Consider the following 25,142-nt stretch of genomic DNA (forward strand, 5'->3'; position numbering starts at 1 on the left):
GGCTGATCACTTGAGGCCAGGAGTTCAAGACCAGCCTGGCCAACATGGTGAAACCCCGTCTCTACTAAAAACACACAAATTAGCCAGGCATGGTGGTATGTGCCTGTGTTCCCAGCTACTTGGGAAGCTGAGGCTGGGGAATCACTTGAACCCAGTGAGGCGAGATTGTGCCATCGCACTCCAGCCTGGGTGACACAGTAAGACTTCATCTAAAAAAAAAAAAAAAAGTGTAAAAAAAAAAAAGATGCTGGACTAAAATTTATAAGCCAGCATTCCCTGGTATTTAATTTTTCTATATCCAAATCAACGTTATTTCCTAGAATTTAAAAACATATATATTTTGGCTGGACGCGGTGGCTCACACCTGTAATCCCAGCACTTTGGGAGGCCGAGGCGGGTAGATCACGAGGTCAGGAGTTCGAGACTAGCCTAGCCAACATAGTGAAACTCCATCTCTACTAAAAATACAAAAAAAAAAATAGCTGGTTATGGTGGTGTGCGCCTGTAGTCCCCAGCTACTCAGAAGGCTGAGACACGAGAATCACTTGAACCCAGGAAGCAGACGTTGCAGTGAGCCGAGACCACACCACTGCAGCCTGGGTGACAGAGCGAGAGTCTGTCTCAAAAAAAACAAAACAAAACAAAACAAAACAAAAAACAAAAAAACTTACTTGTCATTTTATGCAGCAAATAAAGCCCTTATCATATGACAAGTCAATCTTCCTTGGGGGTTGGGTGGGCAGTGAGCTGTAACCTTCATTATATGATCTTTCTCTGACCTATCTACTATCAAACAACAGCAGTGATGGTACAGACAAATTGCTCTAATACTCTTACTAAAAAATGAAACAGTAGGTATTTATTATGGCTTTATAGTAAGAAGCCATTTTATTGGAAAAGCAGAATAAAAGTCTTTGTTTTGTTTCTACTCCAAGTCCAGGTTTGCATTTGTGATTGACAGCAACGGTGCTTACTTAAACAATGGCTAATTTAAATGTTTCACAATCCTCAAGGGAAAAAATGCCACCTGGGACAATGTTCAATGTCTTGAATTCACTATTAAGTAAGAGTCCGGTTCCGTTCATGTATGCAAATTTCCCTCCAAGGAATCCTGTTCAAAGGGAAGGCAAACTGAGATCTCCTAGACACCCATGATGTGCCAGATACTTTAATATACTGCAAATTATCTCAATTAATCCCAACAATAAACACCCATGGTTGGAATCTTTGTGGAAAAGGTAAAAGTTCTATACAGAGAAAGCCACTGCACTGGGAAGGGCAGAGGGCTCCGCTGTTGACTGGCTCTTTCATTCTGTTACACAGGACAAGACCAGCATGAGGTCAACCTTGTGGCAATGGCTTTTGTACTCAACTGGCTTCCAAGTTACCTTCTGGCTGACTCAGTGTCTCTGAGACCATCCTGAGTGCCAGGGACATTTGTACCTACCTTGGGTGCTAGAAACCAGTTGATTCTACTTCTTATGTTACCTAAATACTTTGCTCTTTATTGGAGGAAAAGAATGATTCAGATGGAGCCAAACAAGCAGTGGCTTGAACGCCTCTCTCCAATTTTCCTTCAAAAAAATCTTGGTCAGGCGTGGTGGCTCATGCCTATAATCCCAGCACTTTGGGAGGCTGTGGCAGGCGAATCACTTGAGGTCAAAAGTTCGAGACCAGCCTGGCCAATATGGTGAAACCCCATCTCTACCAAAAACACAGATTCTGCTCTGTCGCCCAGGCTGGAGTGCAGTGGTGCGATCTTGGCTCGCTGCAACCTCCAGCTCCCGGGTTCAAGCAATTCTCCTGACTCAGCCTCCCGAGTAGCTGGGATCAAAGGCATGCGCCACCACATCTGACAAATTTGTATATTTTTAGTAGAGACACGGTTTCACCATGTTGGCCAGGCTGGTCTCGAACTCCTAACCTCAGGTGATCTGCCAGTCTCCGCCTTCCAAAGTGCTGGGATTACAGGCATAAGCCACTACACCTGGCCTTAAGCACGTCCATAAACTCCACTTTAAAATACATGATTATTGACTCCCAGGAAACTTCTCAGTAATTCTCACTTGAAATTCACCTAACTTTCTTATGATGATTAAATATTTCCTTATGTATACACACTAAAACCTGATCTTAAAAAAAAATTCAAAAATTGCTAAATGAAAGTTTTTGAATATATTAATACCATGTGTGTCTGAAAATAACAAGTATTCATAAGCAAAAATTTAAAATTCCAGAGTTACGGCTGGGCGCGGTGGCTCACGCCTGTAATCCCAACACTTTGGGAGGCCGAGGCGGATGGATCATGAAGTCAGGAATTCAAGACCAGCCTGGCCAAGATGGTGAAACCCCGTCTCTACTAAAAATACAAAAATTAGCCGGGCGTGGTGGCGTGCACCTGTAATCCCAGCTACTTGGGAGGCTGAGGCAAGGAATTACTTGAACCTGGGAGGCGGAGGTTGCAGTGACCCGAGATCGCGCCACTTCATTCCAGCCTGGGCGACAGAGTGAGACTCCATCTCAAAAAAAAAGTCCAGAGCAAGTCTTATTTTTAAAACAAAACAAATTTGAAGGGAAAAAGAGACAAAATGACCTAAGTAAAAAAGTCAGATGGCTGGCCAGCTCTCCAACAGAAGATAGAAAAGTCTGCAAATTAGCCAGGCGTGGTGGCGCATGCCTGTAATCCCAGCTACTTGGGAGGCTGAGGCAGGAGAATAGCTTCAACCCGGGAGGCGGAGGTTGCGGTGAGCCGAGATCACCCCACTGCACCCCAGCCTGGGCAACAAGAGCGAAATCCCATCTCAAAAAGAAAAGAAAAGTCTGCAGTACGTAAAACCTGAGCCTCAGAAATCGGAGGTGGCGGAGCCTCAACAGCGTTCTGGCATTGTCTTTGCCAGGACGGGACTGCCCTCTGGTGTAACTAACAATTTTCACGTTTTGTTCAGCCTCACTGTAAAGTCATAAAACTTTTCTGATGCTTAGTTTCCTCATGTACAAAACAGCAGCAGTCACCTTCTAGGGTAATTACTGCAGTTAAACAGCCAACATAGAGCACTTAGCAAATACACTCCCAGAAACAGACCTCTTTCCTTCCACCCTTTCAGGTCATAATATTTCCATCCCACCTTAAGATATCACTTAACTTTAAAGAGCTGGCACAGATAGGGAATGATTTTCAGCTCATATAGTCATGTTTTTAATTCCTGAAAATGCTCTGCGTTGTGGTCTGTTCTTACAAAGGAATACTATGCAGCAACAACAGGATAAATTATAACTACATGAAACTATGTGGATGAGCGTCACCGATAAAGGGTTGAGTGAGAGGCCAGATACAAAAGAGTACATACTGTCTGATTCCATCTTAATGAAGTAAGAATAGCCAAAGGTAATCTATGGTGATACAAGTCAGAATGGTGGTTACCTTGGGTTGAGGGGATAATGGGAGGAGAGGCACGACGATACTGAGATGCTGAAAATATTTTGTGCCTTAATCTGGGTGGTGGTTCCACAGGTACATACACATATAAAAATTCATCAAGCTGTGTACCTAACAGTCGTGCAGTTTACTGCCTTTATGTTATACACTTCAATGAATATTTAAAATAATATGTTTTCGGCCAGGCGCAGTGGCTCACGCCTGTAATCCCAGCACTTTGGTAGGCCAAGGTGGGCGGATCACCTGAGGTCAGGAGTTCGAGACCAGCCTGGCCAACATGGTGAAACCCTGTCTCTACTAAAAATACAAAAATTAGCCAGGTGTGGTGGCGCGTGCCTGTAGCCCAGCTACTTGGGAGGCTGAAGCAGGAGAATTGCTTGAATCTGGGAAGCTGAGGTTGTAGTGAGCCGAGATTGTGCCACTGCACTCCAGCCTGGGCAACAGAGTGAGCCTCCATCTCAAAATAAATAAATAAATAAATAAATAAATAATAATAATATATTTTTTTCAAAGTAGTTATTTGATTTAATATTTTCTCTGAATGATAAATTCATTCACTGGTGCTTCATAATTGTAGACATCACTTGTATAGGATATTTTCCAAATAACTGAATTTACTCATGTAAGCAAACACACTATTACTTTCTTGGGTAAAAATATTTCTAAAATGATTTGTACCCTCACTATCATTTTAAAGAGGCTCCAAAGCACATTCTTCTTGGTGAACCAAGGTTATCCATAGAAATTTACATGTTGGTGACCTGTATTGGCTCATGCCTTTAATCCCAACAGTTTGGGTGGTCTAGGTGGGAGAATTACTTGAGCCCAGGAATTTGAGACCAGTCTGGGCAACATAGTGAGACCCTGTCTCTATAAAATTTTTAAAAAGTAAAGAAACTGGGCCGGGCGCGGTGGCTTACGCCTGTAATCCCAGCACTTTGGGAGGCCAAGGCAGGTGGATCACGAGGTCAGGAGATCGAGACCATCCTGGCCAACACGGTGAAACCCCGTCTCCACTAAAAATACAAAAAAAAAAATTCTCCAGGCGTGGTGGCGGGCGCCTGTAGTCCTAGCTACTGCGGAGGCTGAGGCAGAATGGTGTGAGCCCGGGAGGCGGAGCTTGCAGTGAGCGGAGATTGCGCCACTGCACTCCAGCCTGGGCGACAGAGTGAGACTCCGTCTCAAAAAAAAAAAGTAAAGAAACTGGCCAGGTGCAGTGGCTCACGCCTGTAATCCCAGCACTTTGGGAGGCTGAGGGGGGGTGGGTCACTTGAGGTCAGGAGTTCAAGACCAGCTTGACCAACATGGTAAAACCCTGTCTCTACTAAAAATACAAAATTAGCCAGGCATGATGGCACATGCCTGTAATCCCAGCTACTTAGGAGGCTGAGGAAGGAGAACTGCTTGAACCTAGGAGGCGGAGGCTGCAATTAGCCAAGATAGCGCCATTGCACTCCAGCCTGGGCAACAAGAGTGAAACTCCATCTCAAAAAAAAAAAAAAAAAAAAGTAAAGAAACTTACATGGTAGAGCTCAGCTGAGATGGGGCAATAGCTTCGGGGACCATTGCTTCTGGATTGGATGGCAGCAGTTTTACCCCTTTGTTATATGCCCTATTTCTCACCATTGTCTGCCTGCCTGTAATCATCCCTGTCCTTCTCATTTGTTTCCTTTCATTCATTTATTCATATATCTGGTACATATTTTTGAACACGTGGGATATGCTAAGAGCTAGAGATACAGTAGCAAGTTAGACACTTGTGATCCATGACCTAAGGGAACTTAATATTTTAGCAAAAGAGGCAAGCATAAAACAAATACAATGTGTATTTTCAGAGCAAAATTAGAGGACCTCCTTTAGGGGACCTGGGAAGGTCACCTTGAAGAGGTGACATTCAAGAACTGTGAGATGAGACCCTATCCCAGAGTGAGCCATTAGTAAGTACTGACTGAATGAATGAGTCCATGTGTGAATGCTTGCTTGAATGGTCATCAGCCAAGTAGAAAGGAGAAAAGAAAGAGTCGTGATTTATTATGCACTGAGGAACCAGAAATGTTATTGAAAGATGTCTAAACTAAGAGTCAATAGGGGGACGGGCATGATGGCTCACACCTGTAATCCCAACACTTTGGGAGGCTGAGACGGGTGGATCATTTGAGGTCAGGGGTTTGAGACCAGACTGGCCAACATGAAACCCTGTCTCTACTGAAAAATACAAAGAGTCAACAGGCACTGAGTGAGGTACTAATAGAATTTATGGCATTAATTTTGGCTGCTGTGGGGGCTGTTTTATTGCCTTACTTAAGATCTTGAGTTGCTAGACAACTGAAGGATTTTTCATTATCACTGGGCTAACCTATACGCATTCAGTTTTTACTTCATCCTGCAAAAAGCAAAACCAGCCACATATGGCCCAAGTGTCTGAAGGTTCCTCCAAGTTGCCCGTGTAGTTCTGACTCCGAGCTCCTACGCATGTGACTTTTCTGGCACAGCCGCCAGAATCACCTTGAAAGGTTGTCACCTACCTGTTCCTTAACAAAGCCATACAGCTCTGTTCAGAAAAGACAGCAGGCCTGCCTCTTAGGCATTATGGCATGTTGTGAAATGCCTTTTCATTTGGGTCCTATTATTGTCCCCAGAAATTTCAGCCTCATGACATTTTACAAATCAAGAAGAACTTGCAGTCTAAAGGATGGAAGGAGCAGATAACAAACAAGAACGCTTGTAGAGACGTTACTCAATTATATGCCTAATACAGCCAACCTGACATAGAAGCATTATTATCATATCACGTTTAATAGCAGCAGAGTCTAAAATGCCAGAAACGTGGGCCAAGTTATTCAGGACTTAATGTGATGCATGACTAGATCTGTCAATAAACTATCATGAAACCATAAGAACCCCTAACAGGAGGATCCAACGTAGCCTTTGTTGATCTTAGTTTCTTACAATTCCTCATGGAAATACTAAATCGGGCTGGGCACAGGGGCTCAAGCCTGTAATCTCAGCACTTCGGGAGGCCGAGGTGGGCAGATCAGTTGAGGTCAGGAGATGGTGAAACCCCATCTCTACTAAAAATACAAAAATTAGCCGGGCGTGGTGGCAGGCGCCTATAGCCCCAGCTACTGGGGAGGCTGAGGCAGGAGAATCGCCTGAACCTGGGAGGCACAGGTTACAGTGAGCCAAGATTGTGCCACTGCACTCCAGCCTGGGGGACACAGTAAGACTCTGTCTCAAAAAAAAAAAAAAGAAAAGAAAAAAGAAAAACTAAACAAAAAGATTGTACCGAATATGGATTTTCCTAGTGAAATAAAGGGAAACAAGGAATGACAAGTGTCTAGAAATGGTTTGTTTTTAGATTTTTCCCCAGAGTCTTTCTGTTCCTTTGATAAAATTTCAGACTCAACACAGGCTCAATCTACTTTAGAAAGTGTGGTATTGCCAGGCGCGGTGGCTCACACCTCTAATCCCAACACTTTGGGAGGCCAAGGCAGGTGGATCACCTGAGGTCAGGAGTTCAAGACCAGTCTGGCCAACATAATGAAACCCCTTCTCTACTAAAAATACAAAAAATTAGCCGGGCATGATGGTGGGCGCCCAGCTACTTGGGAGGCTGAGGCAGGAGAATCTCTTGAACCTGGGAGGTGGAGGTTGCAGAGAGCCGAGATTGCGCCACTGCATTCCAGCCTGGGTGACAGAACGAAACTCCATCTCAAAAAAAAAAAAAAAAAAAAGGCCGGGTGCGGTGGCTTACGCCTGTAATCCCAGCACTTTGGGAGGCCGAGGCGAGTGGATCACTTGAGGTCAGGAGTTCAAGACCAGCTTGGCCAAAATGGTGAAACCCTGTCTCTACAAAAATACAAAAATTAGCTGGAGATGATGGTGGCTGCCAGTAATCCCAGCTACTTGGGAGGCTGAGGTGGGAGAATCACTTGAACCCCGGAGGCAGAGGTTGCAGTGAGCCGAGATTGTGCCACTGCACTCCAGCCTGGGTGACAGAGTGAGACTTCATCTCAAAAAAAAAAAAAAAAGAAAGAAAGAAAAGAAAAAAAAGGAAAGAAAAGAAAAGAAAAAGTGTGCTTTTAATGCATGAATTATTTCACTGGTCAGGGTTTCTATTTTGGATTCACATGGTATGGCTCTCTTTCCCTACTTGATAGACTCAAGCAATCTAAGTGCACCTGTGTAACAGGCAATTAGATACAGTAAGTATCAAAATCTTAAAAGAGACATAGGAAAACATTAATCCACTTGTCAAAAGTTACATAAACTTGCAGTGGTCAGAGTAGTGAAATGACTTTCTGCTAAACTCAATTTTCCGATATGCATATAAAAAGATATTAAACCTGCCATGCTTCCAGGGAACTCAAGGTCTTTAACCTCTACAATTGTTAGATTTCTTCCTATTTGCCTGAATATACAAAGCCACAGCGAAGTTTGTCCTGTGGAGGAAATGTCTTCCAATTTTGAAACAATCATTTCTTCCAGCCGTTTTCAAATGACTGGCCACTTCTCAGAAGAAAAAACCCTTGGCTTCTTACTGCAAGCGTCATTGGGCAAAAATATACCCAAATCATGTTCTTTCATAATTGGTGAGCTCTTCAACTTAGTACTGTCCTTGTACAGGCCAAAGATCCCACACCCTTGTTATATTGCCCGTTTTATACTGCAACACTTTTCCCCAAGAACTGGCAATTGTAGAAATCTGTTGGAACTATTTTTTTTCCTAGATTTTCCTATAACTGTTTGAGTTTTAACTATTAATAACACAGTTACTGCTATCTGTGTGTGGCATATCATTATTACAATTGATCATACATAAACATTTGATTAAGGCTGTAGCTTTATTATATTTTCTACCCACCCAAAAAAGCTAGATTATAAAGACTTAGTATTCCCAAGAAGTATTTATTCATTAGTTTCTCCTAAACCATGACCAGTATAGAAAAAGTCGGTCTCAAGCTGGTCTGTTTCAAAAACACAGAGTTGAGGATAAGAGGCCGTTTTAAACTGACTTTTTTTTTTTTTCTTTTTTGGAGACGGAGTTTCGCTCTTGTCACCCAGGCTGGAGTGCAGTGGCACAATCTTGGCTCACTGCAACCTCTGCCTCCGGGGTTCAAGCGATTCTCCTGCCTCAGCCTCCTGAGTAGCTGGGACTACCGGCGCACACCACCATGCCCGGCTAATTTTTGTATTTTTGGTAGAGATGGGGTTTCACCTTGTTGGCCAGGCTCGTCTCGAACTCCTGACCTCAAGTGATCCACCCACCTCGGCCTTCCAAAGTGCTGAGGTTACAGGTGTGAGCCACCGCACCCAGCCTAACCTGACCTTTAATTTGCTGTTATCTTGTCTAAATTTAACAGAATTGGGGGTGGGGTGGGGGGAGAAAGTTTAAAAGTATTTTCATGAAACCAGAACCACCATTTAGCAAAACCTTTAAATGGAATGAATTCCCGAGCTCACAGAAGTGCAAATTGCAAGGTTACACATTGCCTCCCAGAAACACAGGACCTGGTTCTGAACTCTTTGCTAAAGGATTCTGATTCAGCCCACTGTAAAATCTCAAGCACAAGTAGGTTTTCCACTTACTCTCCATTACACACATGTCCCTCTAGCAAAACCAAAAACAGCATTTGATGGAAGCTAAAGATTACAATTATCCGGGGACTCCGAGCCACTAAAAAATAGAGTTTGCAAAGAAATCCCTTTTGCCCCCGTCTTCCCCTCACCATCCCTGCCCCTTCCGCAGAAGGGAACCCAAATCGTATGCAATTTGAAATTTTTAATATGAATATACTAAAGTAGGAAGCACGTACCTGCTAAGCACCTGGCGCTCTCTTTCCCTGCTTGCTCTCTCCTCCCACACTCTGGCAACGGAATGCCCTTCAAAAACCATGGCTCAGTGCTTTTGGTAAATGTTTTACGAGACACTAAACAGGCTTGTGTCCCACCCTCAGAGCAAACACCACTGAGGGAACACAATATAATGGTCGAAAAGATATCATGTAATGTACAATAATGAAAATGAACAAGCAGGCTCTATTTCCACACTTCCCCTTAAGGGGGAAAGCAATGTCAAACTTTCAGGTGGTGGGGGCGGAGTTGCCGGAAAGGCTCATAGAAATAAACCTTGACGCTGGAAGCGTTAGAGCGATTTTTTTAAAGGTGGCATAACGATAAGCTCATTGTTCTAATCCTCAAACAAGTCTTGGCTTGCTGAGCTGAAAAACTGTCAAAGGCAAGAGTTAATAAAGGGTGGAGTTCACCGGCGAATATGTAGACGCAGTAGCATCTCCACATTGACCACATATTCCTATTTATCAGAGAAAATGCAACTCAAAAAGTGCTCATAAACCATCCTCCACAATAACCAAAGGTACTTCCCATTTTCCATATCCTTCAAGTTATTCACAGTTAAGACCCAACTCTGCTCCAAACCAGAAGTTTTGCATTCCATTCAAGTTAACAATTACAACTGAAGGATAACAGAAACTTGCTGGCACCAAACTATTAGAATGTCAGGTGCCTCCTGGTACCACCAGGGTTAATGAGATAAAGAGAGGGTGCCCAGGGATGATCTATCTGCCTGGTTTTACAGAAACTACCTATAGAGATTGCTAGAGTCTTGGGCCCATGCAAGCAGCACGCACTCATCGGCTACTGGAGGACTGAGTGGGACATCTAAGACATGAAAAAGCAGAATTACTTAGCTACAGTCAAGCCCACTCGCTAAAAAGAGACCAAGACCGTCTAGAGAAGAAGCCAGAATTGGCTTTGGTTGCAGAATCACACCCACAGGCAGGATAGGCAAATAAGATAACCCATTCTCTGTCCCCACCCACTCCTCCAATCCCCAAGAGAGTGCTCAGAATTTTGCATTTCCTACCTTTAAAATATCTGCTGGGGTGGAAACAAAACAAAGCAAAACAAAACTGAACCTAGAATTGAGATCATGTGTTTTCTACACTCCAGCTGTGTGACCTTGAGGGAGTAACTTAACCTCCCTGAGCCCGTCTCCTCATCTATAAAGTACAAATGTCTAGAAACACAGAAGTTATTTCCAAGAACTGACAGCTCTCCAGCTCCAGGAGCCTAGAAAATGGCACAGAGCAGTTCTTGACAGTTTTAAAATGTCAGAAGGGTTGTTGTCATTTTTTGGTCTCCTACCTTATGTGGATGGGTTCCATCTTATTTTCAATGTCCTCCTGTTGCAGAAGCTTCCGGTTAGTCCTGGGACTAAAGGGCAATTGACCTCACTCCTCCTGGGTCTGACTGACTAATCTGTTAGGGTGGGTACCATAAATGACCGTTTTATCTGCCTGCCCGGGGCGTGGCAACAGGGCCTCCCCGCCCCCCAGCCCTGCCTGTCAGCTCCTTTTGCTTTCACAACATTTCTCGTCTTGCCCTCTATCACAGTGAGCTGACCCGCCTCCTAACGCCTCATCCGGGCCTCCCTTTTTCTCTTTTTTCCCTCTCTTCCTCTCTCCTTTCTTGCCTTGCTTCCCTGAGAGGAACATAATGGGTGTTGGGGGAGGGCGATGATTCTCTTTTTCTTTTCTTTCTTTTTTTTTTTTTTTTTGAGACGGATTCTCGCTCTGTCACCCAGGCTGGAGTGCAGTGGCACAATCTCGGCTCACTGCAACCTCCGCTCCCAAGTTCAAGCGATTCTCCTGCCCCAGCCTCCCAAGTAGCTGGGATTACAGGCACCTGACACCATGCCTGGCTAATTTTTGTATTTTTAGTAGAGACAGGGTTTCACCATGTTGGCCAGGCTGGTCTCGAACTCCTGACTTCAGGTGATCCGCCCGCCTTGGCCTCCCAAAGTGCTGGGATTACAGGCATGAGCCACCATGCCTGGCCCTCATCATTCTATTTCTCCTTCTACTATTTTATGTGACATATCACACAACCCAGTGCATGGTTTACACAGGTATTATTATTATTCTCGAGATTCAGAGATGCAGAAAGATCCAAAAACAGCCCAAGGTCACTGAGCCATTGCTGACAGGCCAGGGGCTGAGGTGGCCTTTCCTGACAGCCCAGGATTTCCCTTAAGCCACTGACCTCCAAAAGCACCTCCTCTCAGAGCCGTAAGGCCCCACCTGGTCTAACCTGCTCTCCCCGCCACCTGTGGCATAGTTTCCTCTCAGATCCCTCTCCTCATCTTCCTTCCTCCCTCAGCACGGGCCAGCCCCTTATTCTAATGTTAGGGTTTATCTCACTTGACCTCTTGTCCCTTGCGTGCCCTTCTTTATGCAAACCCAAGAGGAGTAAATCCCCTGCATGCTAGGGATTAATTACTCCTATCACAGAAGTCTTTCCCATGAGCACCCCTCTTGGGTCACCTGTCTCATTCCACTCTGCATTAGGGTATTTGCGTGTCCTCAAATGCCATCCCTCCCTCCCTCCCCACCTTCCTTCCTTCCCTCCTTCCTTCCTTCCTTCTTTCTTTTTTCATGGAGTCTCGCCCTCTTGCCCAGGCTGGAGTGCAGTGGCACAATCTCAGCTCACTGCAACCTCCACCTCCCAGATTCAAGAGATTCTCCTGCCCCAGCCTCCTGCGTAGCTGGGATTATAGTCATGCACCACCACACCTGGCTAATTTCTTTGTAGTTTTAGTAGAGACAGGGTTTCACCATGTTGGTCAGGCTGGTCTTGAATTCCTGATCTCAAATGATCCACCCGCTTCGGCCTCCCAAAGTGCTGGGATTACAGGCATAAGCCACTGTGCCCGACCCTCAACTCCTTTCTAGATCACCAGAACACTCACCTCTGCACCCCCTGGCATGGAGTCCAATGCCTTACTGTTCAGAAATATACTTAAATTTTGATAAAAAAAAGTTTGAAGACACAAAATCTGAATCCAAAACAGTGTTTCAAAGGCATATATTCTACGTACAGTCAGCCCTCAGTGTCTGTGGGTTCCGCATCCCTGAAGTCAACCAACCACAGATCAAGAATATTCAAAAATCTCATGTACCCCATAAATATATATACTACTATGTGCCCACAAAAAATTAAAAATGTAAAAATGTGAAAAGGACGGCTGTGTCTGTACTAAACACATAGACTTCTTTTTCTTGTCATTATTCCCTAAACAATACAGCATAACAACTACTTACTAGCATTTCCATTGGATTAGGTATTCTAAGTCATCTAGAGATGACTCAAAGTATATGGGAAGATATGTGTAGGTCATATGCAAATACTGCACCATTTTATATAGAGGACTCGAGCATCCAAAATCTGGGGGGCCTGCAACCAATTCCCCATGGATACAGAAGGATCACTATATAAACAAATGCCAGAATTTGGGGTTTTAAGGTAGTTGCTTTGCTTTTATTTATTTATTTATTTTGTATTTCAATGAGGATGAGAAAATGGGATTATGAAGTCCAGATAGCCAATAAGATAGCCATCAAATCACACCACAAAACAAGCATTGTTTCTTTTCTTTTCTTTTTTTTTTTTTTTTTTTTTTTTTTTTGAGATGAAGTCTCACTCTGTCACCCATGTTGGAGTGCAGTGGTGCCATCATGGCATCATGGCTCACTGTAATCTCCACCTCCCGGGTTCAAGCAATTCTCCTGCCTCAGCCTCCTGAGTAGCTGGGACTACAGGCACACACCACCACACCCGGCTAATTTTGCTATTTTTTTAGAGATGGGGTTTCACCGTGTTGGTCAGGCTGGTCTCGAACTCCTGAGCTCAAGTGATCCACCTGCCTCGGCCTCCCAAAGTGCTGGGACTACAGGCGTGAGCAACCACGCCCAGCTGCAAACATTGCATCTCAAGTGCCTACAATAATCAAGTATTTGATATATGACACCTCATTTAATTAAACAGACAGATGAGAGGACAGACTCAGAGAGGCTGCCCAAGGATACACAGCTAATAATGACAGATCTGAGAACCTCAGCGGGTCCCAGTTGGAGCCCTTCTCTTTGCCTGAGTCACACTCTCATGCACATGCACACTGTAGCCTACACACCCTACTGCCCAATCAGGGGTGTCCAATCTTTTGGCTTCCCTGGGTCACACTGGAAGAAGAATTGTCTTGGGCCACACATAAAATACACTGATACTAATGATAGCTTATGAGCTTTAAAAAAAAAAAAATCCCAAAGGAAGCTTATGAATTTGTGTTGGGCCACATTCAAAGCCATCCTGGACATGCCACAGGTTGGACAAGCCTGGTCTAAATCAAGATCCAGCCCAGGAGTGGTGGCTCACACCGGTAGTCCCAGCACTCTGGGAGTCCCAGGCAGGAGGATCACTTGAGCCCAGAGTTTAAGACCAGCCTAGGCAACATAGTGAGACCCTTGTTTCTATAAAAAAAAAAATATAAAAAATGATCCAGGCATGGTGGCATGCGCCTGTGGTCCAAGCTACTTGGGAGGCTGAGGTGGGAGGATTGCTTGGGCCGGGACTCCTCACTGTAGTTGAGGCTACAGTGAGCCAAGATCACACCACTGTACTCTGCCCTGGGTAACAGAGTGAGATCTTGTCCTTAAAAAAAATAAAAAATAAAAATCACTTGCATGTATTTTCTGCCAACCTCTGACCAGAACCAGTTCAACTGTTTTTCTCCTTCAATCTTTTTTTTTTTTTTTTTGAGATGGAGTTTCACTCTTGTTGCCCAGGCTGGAGTGCAATGGAACGATCTTGGCTCACTGCAATCTCTGCCTCCCGGGTTCAAGCGAATCTCCTGCCTCAGCCTCCAGAGTAGCTGGGATTACAGGTGTGCACCACCACACCCGGCTAATTTTGTATTTTTAGTAGAGATGGGGTTTCTGCATGTTGGTCAGGCTGGTCTCGAACTCCCAACCTCAGGTGATCTGCCCACCTCGGCCTCCCAAAGTGCTGAGATTACAGGTGTGAGCCACCACACCCAGCATCCTTCAATCCTTTACCTTGGTCTCCTCACCCTCCTCTCCCACTTCCCTCTACCCTACCCTCCTTTTTTTTTTTTTTTTTTTTTTTTTTTGAGACGGAGTCTCGCTATTGTTGCCCAGGCTGGAGTATAGTGGCTCAATCTTGGCTCACTGCAACCTCCATCTCCCAGGTTCAAGCAATTCTCCTGCCTAAGCCTCCCGAGTAGATGGGACAACAGGCGCCCGCCACCATGCCCAGCTAATTTTTGTATTTTTAGTAGAGACGGGGTTTCACCATGTTGGCCAGGATGGTCTCGATCTCTTGACTTCATGATCCACCTGCCTTGGCCTCCCAAAGTGCTGGGATTACAGGCATAAGCCACCGTGCCCAGCCCACCCTACCCTCTTATCCCTAATTAAGATCATCTCTACTGCTCACTTTGAAATCTACTGATGAACTCTATTTCATATTGAAGCCCTCCTTTGACCATAAAATCCAACCAAAAAATATGGCTTCTCCCACTTTGGGTAAGCCTTTTATGTTCTTTTTTTTCTGTGATCACAAATTTGTCATTTGACTTTAAACCCTGTAGGTTGTATTAGAATTCCCCGTGTTCTATACGGCACTTGGCACATAAAAGTCTCATGCTGCTCAGAGACTAAATTATGTGTCCCTGAGAAAGGACTGTGCCTTCTGTGCAATAGAAATGTTTTATAATAGCATTTTCCACCTCCAGCCATGTGATTCTAAGTGGAGTTTTTTCTCTATTGGTTTTGGTATGCCAGCATGCAGGTATACCCCTAGAATTTTCAACTGCAGAGCTGCAATAGGGCAGAATAATGTGTCTCTGGGGAGTGCTGCTCTATCGCCCCAGGCCTATTCCAAAGCATCTTTCAGCTGTAGGGGCCCATGTCTAGCCTGAATATCTTTGAGGCTAGTATATATTTGGCCTGCAGAATAGTTTCAGCTTCTGAAAGGGGTTTTGAGCTCCCTTGGACACTAGGAAATAGTAGAGGAGAAAGGAGAGGTAGAGATTTAATCTGGAGCTTCTAAATCTTCCGGAATCTTCCAAAGGTTTAGGAATGCCCATGAATCATACTCAAACCCCTTTAGAGGACTTCAAAGAGTACCATGAATGTGACCTCAGAAACTGCTCATCACCTAGCCAACCTCAACAGATGTGTAAGAAAGGGCCCAGGGGCTCTTGGTGCTTTCCCAAACTGCCCAAGGAAGGAGGGGCTGCAATAGGAGAGGGGAGATCAGTCTACACTGTCCGGTGCTGCCTATCATGGGGACATCAACCGCTAGACCAGCAGTTCTCAAAGTGAGGTCCCTGGAATGCTGAGAGGCTCCACGGTTCTTAAAAATACTAACATATTTCCCTTTTACACGGCATTGACACGGACTAGTGATAAAAAGGCAATGGTGGCTAAAACTTCTAGCCGTGTGAGAGGCAGTGCCACCAAAGTATACTAGTAATTGTGGCATTTTTTTACCACCAGGCATTTGAAGTTGTTCTACCTTTTTTTAAAGCCAATTTTCCTTAAGAATGTATTTGGTAACACAGTATTAATTTTATTTTATTTTTTATTTCTTTTTAAAATGTTTTAAATTTTTTAATTTTAATTTTTTTGTTGCTGTTGTTTGAGACAGAGTCTGCTTGTTGCCCAGGCTGGAGTGCAGTGGCACAATCTAGGCTCACTGAAACCTCCACTTCCTGGGTTCAAGTGATTCTCCTGCCTCAGCCTCCCAAGTAGCTGGGATTACAGGCACCTGCCATAACATCCAGCTAATTTTTGTATTTTTAGTAGAGATGGGGTTTCACCATGTTGGCCAGGCTGGTCTTGAACTCCTGACCTCAGGTGATCCACCTGCCTCAGACTCCCAAAGTGCTGGGATTACAGGCATGAGCCACCACATCCAGCCTATTTATTTTATTAAGTCTCAATTCAAGTAGATGTTTTAAAAATATTCTGTGCGATGAAACAGAAAGTATGATAAAGCACTTCTACTGTATACCAAATTATGATTGCTGTCTCAAGGAAAAATCACTTGAGAGTCACAGGCTACATTACTTGATAAAACAAACTATGATTATTTAGACTTGAATATTTGGCAGACCTTTTCTAGAAAATGAATGAAGTGACCCTGGCACTTCAAAGAACACAACAGACAGTATTGATTTCCAATGATCAAATTCAAGCTTTCAAGCAAAAGTTAAATATGGGGGAACCTGGCTAACTCTGGGTGTACTGCCTATGAGTTAGCTCTGCTGTGCAAGGAGAAGAAAAATAATTTTAAAAAATACAAAAAAAGGAAGAAAAAATTTGGGGGCAACCTGCATTTATCACCACAAGCTTGACTGCTTGTCAGTGATTAAAGGCTTTTCTCATGAGATCAGCTATGACATTAACAAATGTGGATTTTTAAAAATACATACTGAAATGTTTCAATATTTGGAAGATCTTCACAATTCAGTGAACCAATATTTTCCAAATAACCAACCATGATGTTACAGAATCATGCATGGGTAAGCAGTCCATTCAAAGTTCAAGATGGGCCAACCAATTTTAATGTAACAGAGCATGAAAATTTCCTTTTTATGGTTTCAGATTCTGCTGCAACTAACCTTTAAGAAACTACCTCTTGGCTGGGTGCAGTGGCTCACGCCTGTAATCCTAGAGCTTTGGGAGGCCAAGGCTGGCAGATCACCTGAGGTCAGGAGTTCGAGACCAGCCTTTCCAACATGGTGAAGCCCTGTTTCTACTAAAAATACAAAAATTAGCCCGGCGTGGTGGCAGGCGCCTGTAATCCCAGATACTCGGGAGGCTGAGGCAGGAGAATCTCTTGAACCTGGGAGGCAGAGGGTGCAGTGAACTGAGATTGTGCCACTGCATTCCAGCCTGGGCAACAGAGCAAGACTCCATCTCAAACAAAACAAAACAAAACAAAACAAAAACTACCTCTTGTAGAGTTTGGGTTTAGTATCAAAGAAGAATGTTCACAATAATCCAAAAATTCTACTATAATATTCCTCCCTTTTCCAATTGCATATCTTTGTGAGGTTGAATTTTCTTTCCCTATAGAATTTCAGTGAAAATGACATACCTCAATAGATTGAAGCAGAAGCAAATATGAGCATACAGCTGACTTCTATCAAGACAATCATCAAAGAGATTTGAAAAAATATAAACGACATGATCTTCTCTTTATCTACTTTTTTTGGAAATATAATTATTTTTCATGAAAACATTTTCATAAAAAATGAGCTTACTATTATTCTTGTTAAAGGAAATTAATATTTTTCTTAATTTTAATTTCTAATGCAGTAAATATCAATATATAGAACCCAAATAAAAGCACTTTAAAAGCACTTTGCATTTCTCAAAAATCTTTTTTTTTTTTTTTTTTTTTACACAGAGTCTCACTCACCCAGGCTGGGGTGCAGTGGTATGATCTCGGCTCACTGCAACCTCTGCCTCCGGGGTTCAAGCGATTCTTATGCCTCAGCCTCCCAAGTAGCTGGGATTATAGGCATGCGCCACTATGCCTGGCTAATTTTTGATATTTTTAGTAGAGACAGTGTTTCACCATGTTGGCCAGGCTGGTCTTGAACTCCTGACCTCAAGTGACCCACCCGCCTCAGCCTCCCAAAGTGCTGGGATTATAGGAGTGAGCCACCACACCTGGCTAATAATTTTTAAGAATATAAAAACAGGGCTAGGCACAGTGGCTCATGCCTGTAATCCCAGCCCTCCTGGCTTGGGCTCAGGAGTTCAAGATCAGCCATGGTAGGCCGGGCGTGGTGGCTCACGCCTATAATCCCAGCACTTTGGGAGGCCAAGACGGGCAGATAGCCTGAGGTTAGTAGTTGGAGACCAACCCGGCCAACATGGTGAAACCCTGTCTCTACCAAAAATACAAAAATTAGCTGGGCATGGTGGCAGGCACCTGTAATCCTAGCTACTCGGGAGACTGAGGCAGGAGAATTGCTTGAACCCAGGAGGCAGAGGTTGCAGTGAGCTGAGATCACGCCATTGCACTCCAGCCTGGGCGCCAAGAGCAAAACTCCATCTAGGAAAAAAAAAAAATCAGCCAGGGTGACGTGGTGAAACCTTGTCTCTACAAAAAATACCAAAAATTAGTCAGGCATAGTGGCATGCACCTGTGGTCCCAGCTACTTTGGAAGCTGAGGTGGGAGGATTACCTGAGCCTGGGAGGTTGAAGCGGCAGTGAGCAGTAATCGCGCCACTGCACTCCAGCTTGGGTGACAGAGTGAGCCCTGTCTCAAAAAAAAAAAAAGAGGAAAAGAAAAGGAAAGGAAAACAGGGTTGTCTGATTTCGCAAATAAAACTTCAGGGTGCCCAATTAAACTTGAATTTCAGATAAGAAATGAATATTTTCATATATGTTCCATACAATGTTTGGGAAATACTTGTACTAATAAATTATTTACTGTTTATCTGAAGTTACAGCCAATTGAGTGCCCTGTATCTTATCTGTCTGTGAAGATGTCCAGAGTCCCCAAAATTTGAGAAACACTGCACTCGGCTATGTCCCTCCCACATGTGCTAAAACACTAATACAAACATTTATTAAGCACCTGCTGTGTACTAGACACAGTGCTAAATTCTCGACATATACAACCTCCTGCCAAATCTCATGTGGCAAGTACTCTCATGATCCCTATTTTCTCATACAAATGAGGAAACGGAAACCCAAAGAAGTCAAGTGAAGCTAATTATTGGTGGAAAGCAAGACTGGAACCCACCAGACTCCAAAATCTCAGCTTGTACCTATTAGGCTTACACTGAACCCTGAATAAATGAGATTTCTAAAGATGGTTGGCTTTTCTGCATATTTTCATCTCACATTTTAGCACATCCATTTCTGTTGCTCATCTTCTCTCTGTTTCACAGCTGTGTGTTCTGCTATCACAGCAACCGTGAAAACCAAGGCTGGAAGTGCCGTGTGTGTCAAGGAATTCTAACCAGAACTGGAATTGGCATTCGGACTCAGAAAAGGATTTTCTCATGGATGCTTTCCTAGGCATGACAACAGCATAGTTCTGGGCTGGGAATTCTAGAATGCAGCAATGGTGCACAGACACCGCTCAGCTCACTGCAGCCTTGACCTCCTGGGCTCAAGCAATCCTCCTGCTTCAGCCTCCTGAGTAGCTAGGACTACAGGCGCACGTCACCACGCTCGGCTAATGCTCATTACTATGAATGAAAAGCCACTGGGAGCCCGGTACTGCGCTAGAATCTTCTTTGAGAATAAGCTGGGAATTTATCCAAATGAATCTGTACCAACCAAAACAAATGCAAACGTTGTAAGCAAGCCAAGGTCCTGTTTTTCACATGATCCTGATCCAGGCCACTGGATATATTTAATGAGCTCAGGCTTGATAGTAAACAAAATAGGGAAAGTAAAATATTTTTATGATCCAGTATGGGGGTAAGGCTATGAATTTCACTGTGTTACATGATTTGCAAATACAAAAATGAATCTGCTTGCACCCAACTAGGGGACCTCCCCTAGTTACCGCTTGCTATAATGAAATGTAGAAAGTGATAAACATGGCCAGGCATGATGGCTCAGGTCTGTAATCCCAGCACTTTGGGAGGCCAAGGTGCGCAGATTGCTTGAGGCCAGGAGTTTGAAACCAGCCTGGCCAACATGGCGAAACCCTGTCTCTACTAAAAATACGAAAATTAGCCAGCTATTTTATTAGTACAAAATACGACTATTAGCACACCTGTAGTCCCAGCTACTTGGGAAGCTGAGGCACGAGAATCGCTTGAACCCAGGAGGCAGGGTTGCAGATCACAGAGTGAGACTGTCACAAACAAAGTGATAAACATAAAAAAAGAGATGCTGGTCTTTCATATTGGCCAGATTTCTTTAACAAAAACATTCACCTTTCAAACAATTTTTGTTTTGTAAATCTGGATTTTTATTAAGGTGAGGCACACTGGATTATTCTAAAGGCAGTTGTGTATACAGAAGCCAGGGGCGAAAGAACTTCGAAAATAGCCTAGAGGAAAGAATGGGACAAAGAGAGGAAGGGGAAAAAAAGGATAAATAGGGGAAAAAATGCAAAAACTGGAGTTTTTTGGTAACTAAGAAGAGGGGCATTTTAAAAGCCAAGGCTTGGTAAAAACCTAGGGAATAGGCTTAAGTAGAAAGGAGATTTGGGAAGCTCCAGGGCCCTTGGACACCTGGCAGTGAGCATCAGAAAGAAAAGTAAGAGTTCTTAAGAAAAACCAATCAACTTTGCATTTGCCCTGGGGCTGGCCTGGCAGTGCTGCTATCAGAATTCAGATACTGGCCCAGCCCTGCTCTAGGGCCTGAAGTTTGGCTCTTGCCTCTTCATTTCAGTCCCTTTAGCTGCCCATCCAATCTAGATCCCCGGAGTGCTCAAAGGAGAGGCAACAAGAAGAAAAAGAAAAAGAAGGACAAACTGAAATGCAAGCATGGACCTTAGATGACGATTCTCACAGCTCTCCCCCTTCATGGGACCTTCAGAATTCATTCTTGTGAAAGCTGTAAGTCAAGGAGGACACAGCCAGAAACCGTGACTCATCAAATTCCCAAAGCCAAGACCAGAACACACAGACTCTGGATCCAAGGACTCGCTTTCTGCTTTCAGAACACGGGATCCTGCCTACTTTGTAGTATTTCAATACAAAGCTGATCAAGCCGAGGGTCCCCATCTACTCCCCGCCAGCCTGGCTGCCCTTCCCTGTCTTCAGAGTTTTCTAAATCATAGAGAAGATAGAGTTTAATTCCATGGTGTTTGAGTCACAGGACCTTAGAACACTTCAGAAAACGATTGGCCTTAAAAAATGGTTGGGTCTGTACAAGAAAGTCACTGAGTACAGAGGATGGCAAACATTTCTGTCATGGGCTAGGTAAATACTATAGGCTTTGCAAGCCATGTGTTTTCTGTTACATATTATTCTTTTATTTGTTTCTTTTTGTTTTTTGTTTTTGGGGTTTTTGTTTTTTGTTTTTGAGACAGGATCTCCCTCTGTCACCCAGGCTGGAGTACAGTGGTGCCATAACAGCTCACTGCAGCCTCAACCTCCCTGGCTCCAGGGATCCTCCTGCTTCGGCCTCCTGAGTAGACTGCAGGTGTGCTTCACTACACTTGGCTAATTTTTTTATTTTATGTAGAGACAGGGTCTCTCACTGTGCTGCCCAGTTTGGTTCTTTTTTTTTTTTTTTTTTTTTTTTTTTTGCAACCTTTTAAAAATGTAAAAACCATTAGCTAGAGGGCCACACATAAACAGACAACAGACCACAGTTTACTGATGCCTGACTTAGAGCAATGGAAAAGGGCTGGCAGCATTGACTGGTGACTGCTGCATGTAGTGAGACTAAAGATAGTACAAAACCTCACCAGGTTTGACGAAGGCAACTACCTCTCCATCTGACTTGCCCAAGTCAGCTATAGCTGTGGCAGAGAATTTAATCTGGAAATGCTAGGCTTATATCTTTGAAAAATTAGATAAATGAAGTTGTTGGTTTTGTGTTTGTTTTATTTTATTTTTTTGAGACAGTCTCACTCTCTCTTGCCCAGGCAGCCACCCTGCAGTGTCGTGGTGTGATCTTGGCTCACTGCAACCTCCACCTCCTGGGTTCAAGCAATCCTCCCACCTCAGCCTCCCAAGTAGCTGGGACTACAGGCGTATGCCACCACAACTGGCTAATTTTTTTTTTTTTTTAAGACGGAATCTAGCTCTGTTGCTCAGGCTGGAGTGCAGTGGTGTGATCTCGGCTCACTGCAACCTCTGCCTCCCAGATTCAAGCGATCCTCCTGCCTCAGCCTGCCAAGTAGCTGAGATCACACCTGGCAATTTTTTTTTTTTTTTTTTTTTTTTTGTATTTTTTAGTAGAGACAGGGTTTCACCATGTTGGCCAGGCTGGTCTTGAACTCCTGACCTCAAGTCATCCACCCGCCTTGGACTCCCAAAATGCTGGGGTTACAGGCATGAGACACTGCGCCCGGACTAACTTTTGTATTTTTAGTAAAGGCGGGGTTTCACCATGTTGGCCAGGCTGGTCTCGAACTCCTGGCCTCAACTGGTAACGCCCGCCTCAGCCTCCCAGGACAAATGAAGTTTAAAATAAGCTAGAATATTTTTTAACCTGCTAGTTTTCATTGTGTGTGTGTGTGTGTGTTTGGGGGGTGGGGGGGTGTACGTTTTTATTTAAAAGTGAATACTCCATATGTACCACAAAATTCCAAACCTGGAAGAATCTTCCAATATAGTCCAGTCTACAACTGTTTACCCTTGAGGAAACTGACCTGCTTCAGTTAAATGAGATATTCTAAGTCACATGTTAGTTTGCAGAAGAGAAGGGGCCAGAAACTTGTTTTCGTATTTCAAAATTCATACACTTTACTTTAATGGTGCACTGCCCATTAAGTACTAAAAAATCAATTCAACAAATACTTACGAAGTATTTCTTATATATCTAGCACTGGTTAGGTGCACTAAGGTTACAAAATAAATGTAAGCGAAGATTACTGCCCATAGAAATGTTTTGGGCCAGGTGTGGTGGCTCATGCCTGTAATCCCAGCACTTTGGGAGGCCAAGGCGGGCAGATCACAAGGTCAAGAGATCAGGACCATCCTGGCCAAAATGGTGAAACACCATCTCTATTAAAAATACAAAAATTAGTTGGGCGTGGTGGCACGCCTGTAGTCCCAGCTACTTGGGAGGCTGAGGCAGGAGAATCCCTTGAAACCAGGAGGCCGAGGTTGCAGTGAGCTGAGATCGTGCCACTGTACTGCAGCCTGGCGACAGAGTGAGGCTTTTTTAAAAAAAAAACAACAAAAAACCCTTTTGGTCTCTCACTGAGAAAACAAGGCACACACACTAAGCAAATATATTCTTCCTTGCATTGTCATGTAACTACATATCTAAAATGGGAGCCACCGTAATCCTAGCACTTGGGAGACCTGAGGTCAGGAGTTCAAGACCAGCCTGGCCAATATGGTGAAAACCCATCTCTACTAAAAATACAAACCCTAGCCAGGCATGGTGGCATGCACCTGTAATCCCAGCTACTTGGGAGGCAAAGGCAGGAGAATTGCTTGAACCTGGGAGGTGGAGGTTGCAGTGAGCCGAGATCGTGCCACTGCACTCCAGCCTGGGTGACAGAGTAAGTAAGACCCTGTTTCAAAAAGAAAAAAACAAAAACAAAAATTAGCTGGGCATGGTGGCATGCGCCTGTGGCCATAGCTACTTAGGAGGCTAAGGCAGGAGAATGGCGTGAACCCGGGAGGCGGAGCTTGCAGTGAGCCGAGATCCCGCCACTGCACTCCAGCCTGGGCGACAGAGCGAGACTCCGTCTCAAAAAAAAAATAAATAAATAAATAAATAAATAAATAAATAAATAATAAAGAAAGAAATAATAAAACAGGGCCATCTCGTATAACTCTGTAATGGTGGAAAGTTTCTGTATCTTTGCTGCTATCAGGATAGTAGCCAGTAGCCACATATGTCTATTAAGCACTTGAAATGTGCCGCTGGCTACCATATTAAAAATTTTTAATTTTACAGATGTTCCTTGACTTACAATGGGCTACTTTCCATTAACCCCATCATAAGTAAAAAATATCATAAGTCAAAAATGTGGCTGGGCGAGGTGGCTCACGCCTGTAATCCCAACACTTTGGGGAGGCCAAGGTGGGCAGATCACTTGAGGTCAGGAGTTTGAGACCAGATGGGCCAACCATGGCCAACATGGTGAAACCCTGTCTCTACTAAAAATAAAAATTAGCTGGGCATGGTAGCACATGCCTGTAATCCCAGCTACTCAGGAGGCTGAGGCAGGAGAATTACTTGAACCTGGGAGGCAGAAGCTGCAGTGAGCCAAGATCGTGCCACTGCACTCCAGCCTGGGTGACAGAAGGAGACTCTGTCACAAAAAAAAAAAAAAAAAAAAAAAAAAAAGCATCTAAGGCGGGGCATGGTGGCTCACACCTGTAATCCCAGCATTTTGGGAGGCTGAGGTGGGCAGATCACCCGAAGAGCTCGAGACAAGTCTGGCCAACATGGCAAAACCCTCTCTCTACTAAAAATACAAAAATTAGCCAGGTGTGGTGGCACACACCTGTAATCCCAGCTACTTGGGAGGCTGAAACAGGAGAATTGCCTGAACCCGGAAGGCGGAGGTTGCAGTGAGCCGAGATTGTGCCACTGCACTCCAGCCTGGGCAACAAAGCGAGACTCCATCTAAAAAATAATAAATAAATAAATAAATAAATAAATAAATAAATAAATAAATATTAAAATAAAAGTAAATAAACTTCACGATGGATTTTAAGGATATTAGACCCCCTTTTTTTTTTTTTTTTTTTTTTGAGATGGAGTCTCACTCTATCACCCAGGCTGGATTACAGTGGTGTGATCTCGGCTCACTGCAACCTCCGCTTCCCGGGTTCAAGCGATTCTCCTGGCTCAGCCTCCCGATGAGCTGGGATTACAGGCGTGTGCCACCACACCTGGTTAATTTTTGCATTTTTAGTAGAGACGGGGTTTCACCATGTTGGCCAGGCTAGTCTGGAACTCCCGACCTCAGGTGATCCGCCCACCTTGGCCTCTCAAAGTGCTGGGATTACAGGTGTGAGGCACCATGCCTGGACGATCATGAAGTTTAAAAATTCTAGGTGGAGCATCTTCTGTACTTAATTTTAATTAAATTATTATTATTTTTCTTCTTCTTTTTTTCGAGATGGAGTCTCGTTCTGTTGCCCAGGCTGTAGTGCAGTGGTACAATCTTAGCTCACTGCAACCTCCACCTCCTGGTTTCAAG

General features: G+C 44.1%; 1 protein-coding gene across 38 annotated transcripts in view, besides 3 other annotated features; it reads right to left on the minus strand.

The window, feature by feature from the left end:
• The window catches only part of RBM47 (RNA binding motif protein 47), a 207,573-nt gene that overhangs the window by 81,984 nt on the left and 100,447 nt on the right, over positions 1-25,142 (minus strand). For 3 of the 38 annotated variants that reach the window (NM_019027.4, XM_047415812.1, XM_005248108.5), the window contains exon 1: positions 10,604-10,722. The exons of 32 other annotated variants lie outside the window; for them this stretch is intronic. The gene's annotated coding sequence lies outside the window, so the exon portion shown is untranslated. Of the gene's footprint in view, positions 1-9,252; positions 9,319-10,603; positions 10,723-25,142 lie in introns of those variants that run through there. 3 more of the 38 variants (XM_047415823.1, XM_047415813.1, NM_001371113.1) reach the window with 1 other exon arrangement.
• Positions 10,617-10,927: a silencer, noted in NCBI's record as "fragment chr4:40517897-40518207 (GRCh37/hg19 assembly coordinates)". NCBI's record gives its function as "represses an EF-1alpha promoter that drives an FKBP-Casp9 reporter gene in an ReSE screen in HepG2 liver carcinoma cells {active_cell/tissue: HepG2}" and the evidence as "EXISTENCE:reporter gene assay evidence [ECO:0000049][PMID:32094911]".
• Positions 20,315-21,114: an enhancer, noted in NCBI's record as "NANOG-H3K27ac-H3K4me1 hESC enhancer chr4:40527595-40528394 (GRCh37/hg19 assembly coordinates)". NCBI's record gives its function as "activates a minimal SCP1, AML or CMV promoter by ChIP-STARR-seq in naive H9 embryonic stem cells {active_cell/tissue: H9 hESC(naive)}" and the evidence as "EXISTENCE:reporter gene assay evidence [ECO:0000049][PMID:30033119]".
• Positions 21,115-21,915: an enhancer, noted in NCBI's record as "H3K27ac-H3K4me1 hESC enhancer chr4:40528395-40529195 (GRCh37/hg19 assembly coordinates)". NCBI's record gives its function as "activates a minimal SCP1, AML or CMV promoter by ChIP-STARR-seq in naive H9 embryonic stem cells {active_cell/tissue: H9 hESC(naive)}" and the evidence as "EXISTENCE:reporter gene assay evidence [ECO:0000049][PMID:30033119]".

Source organism: Homo sapiens, chromosome 4, assembly GCF_000001405.40.
Source record: "Homo sapiens chromosome 4, GRCh38.p14 Primary Assembly".
In the NCBI taxonomy this organism is placed as follows: domain Eukaryota; kingdom Metazoa; phylum Chordata; class Mammalia; order Primates; family Hominidae; genus Homo; species Homo sapiens.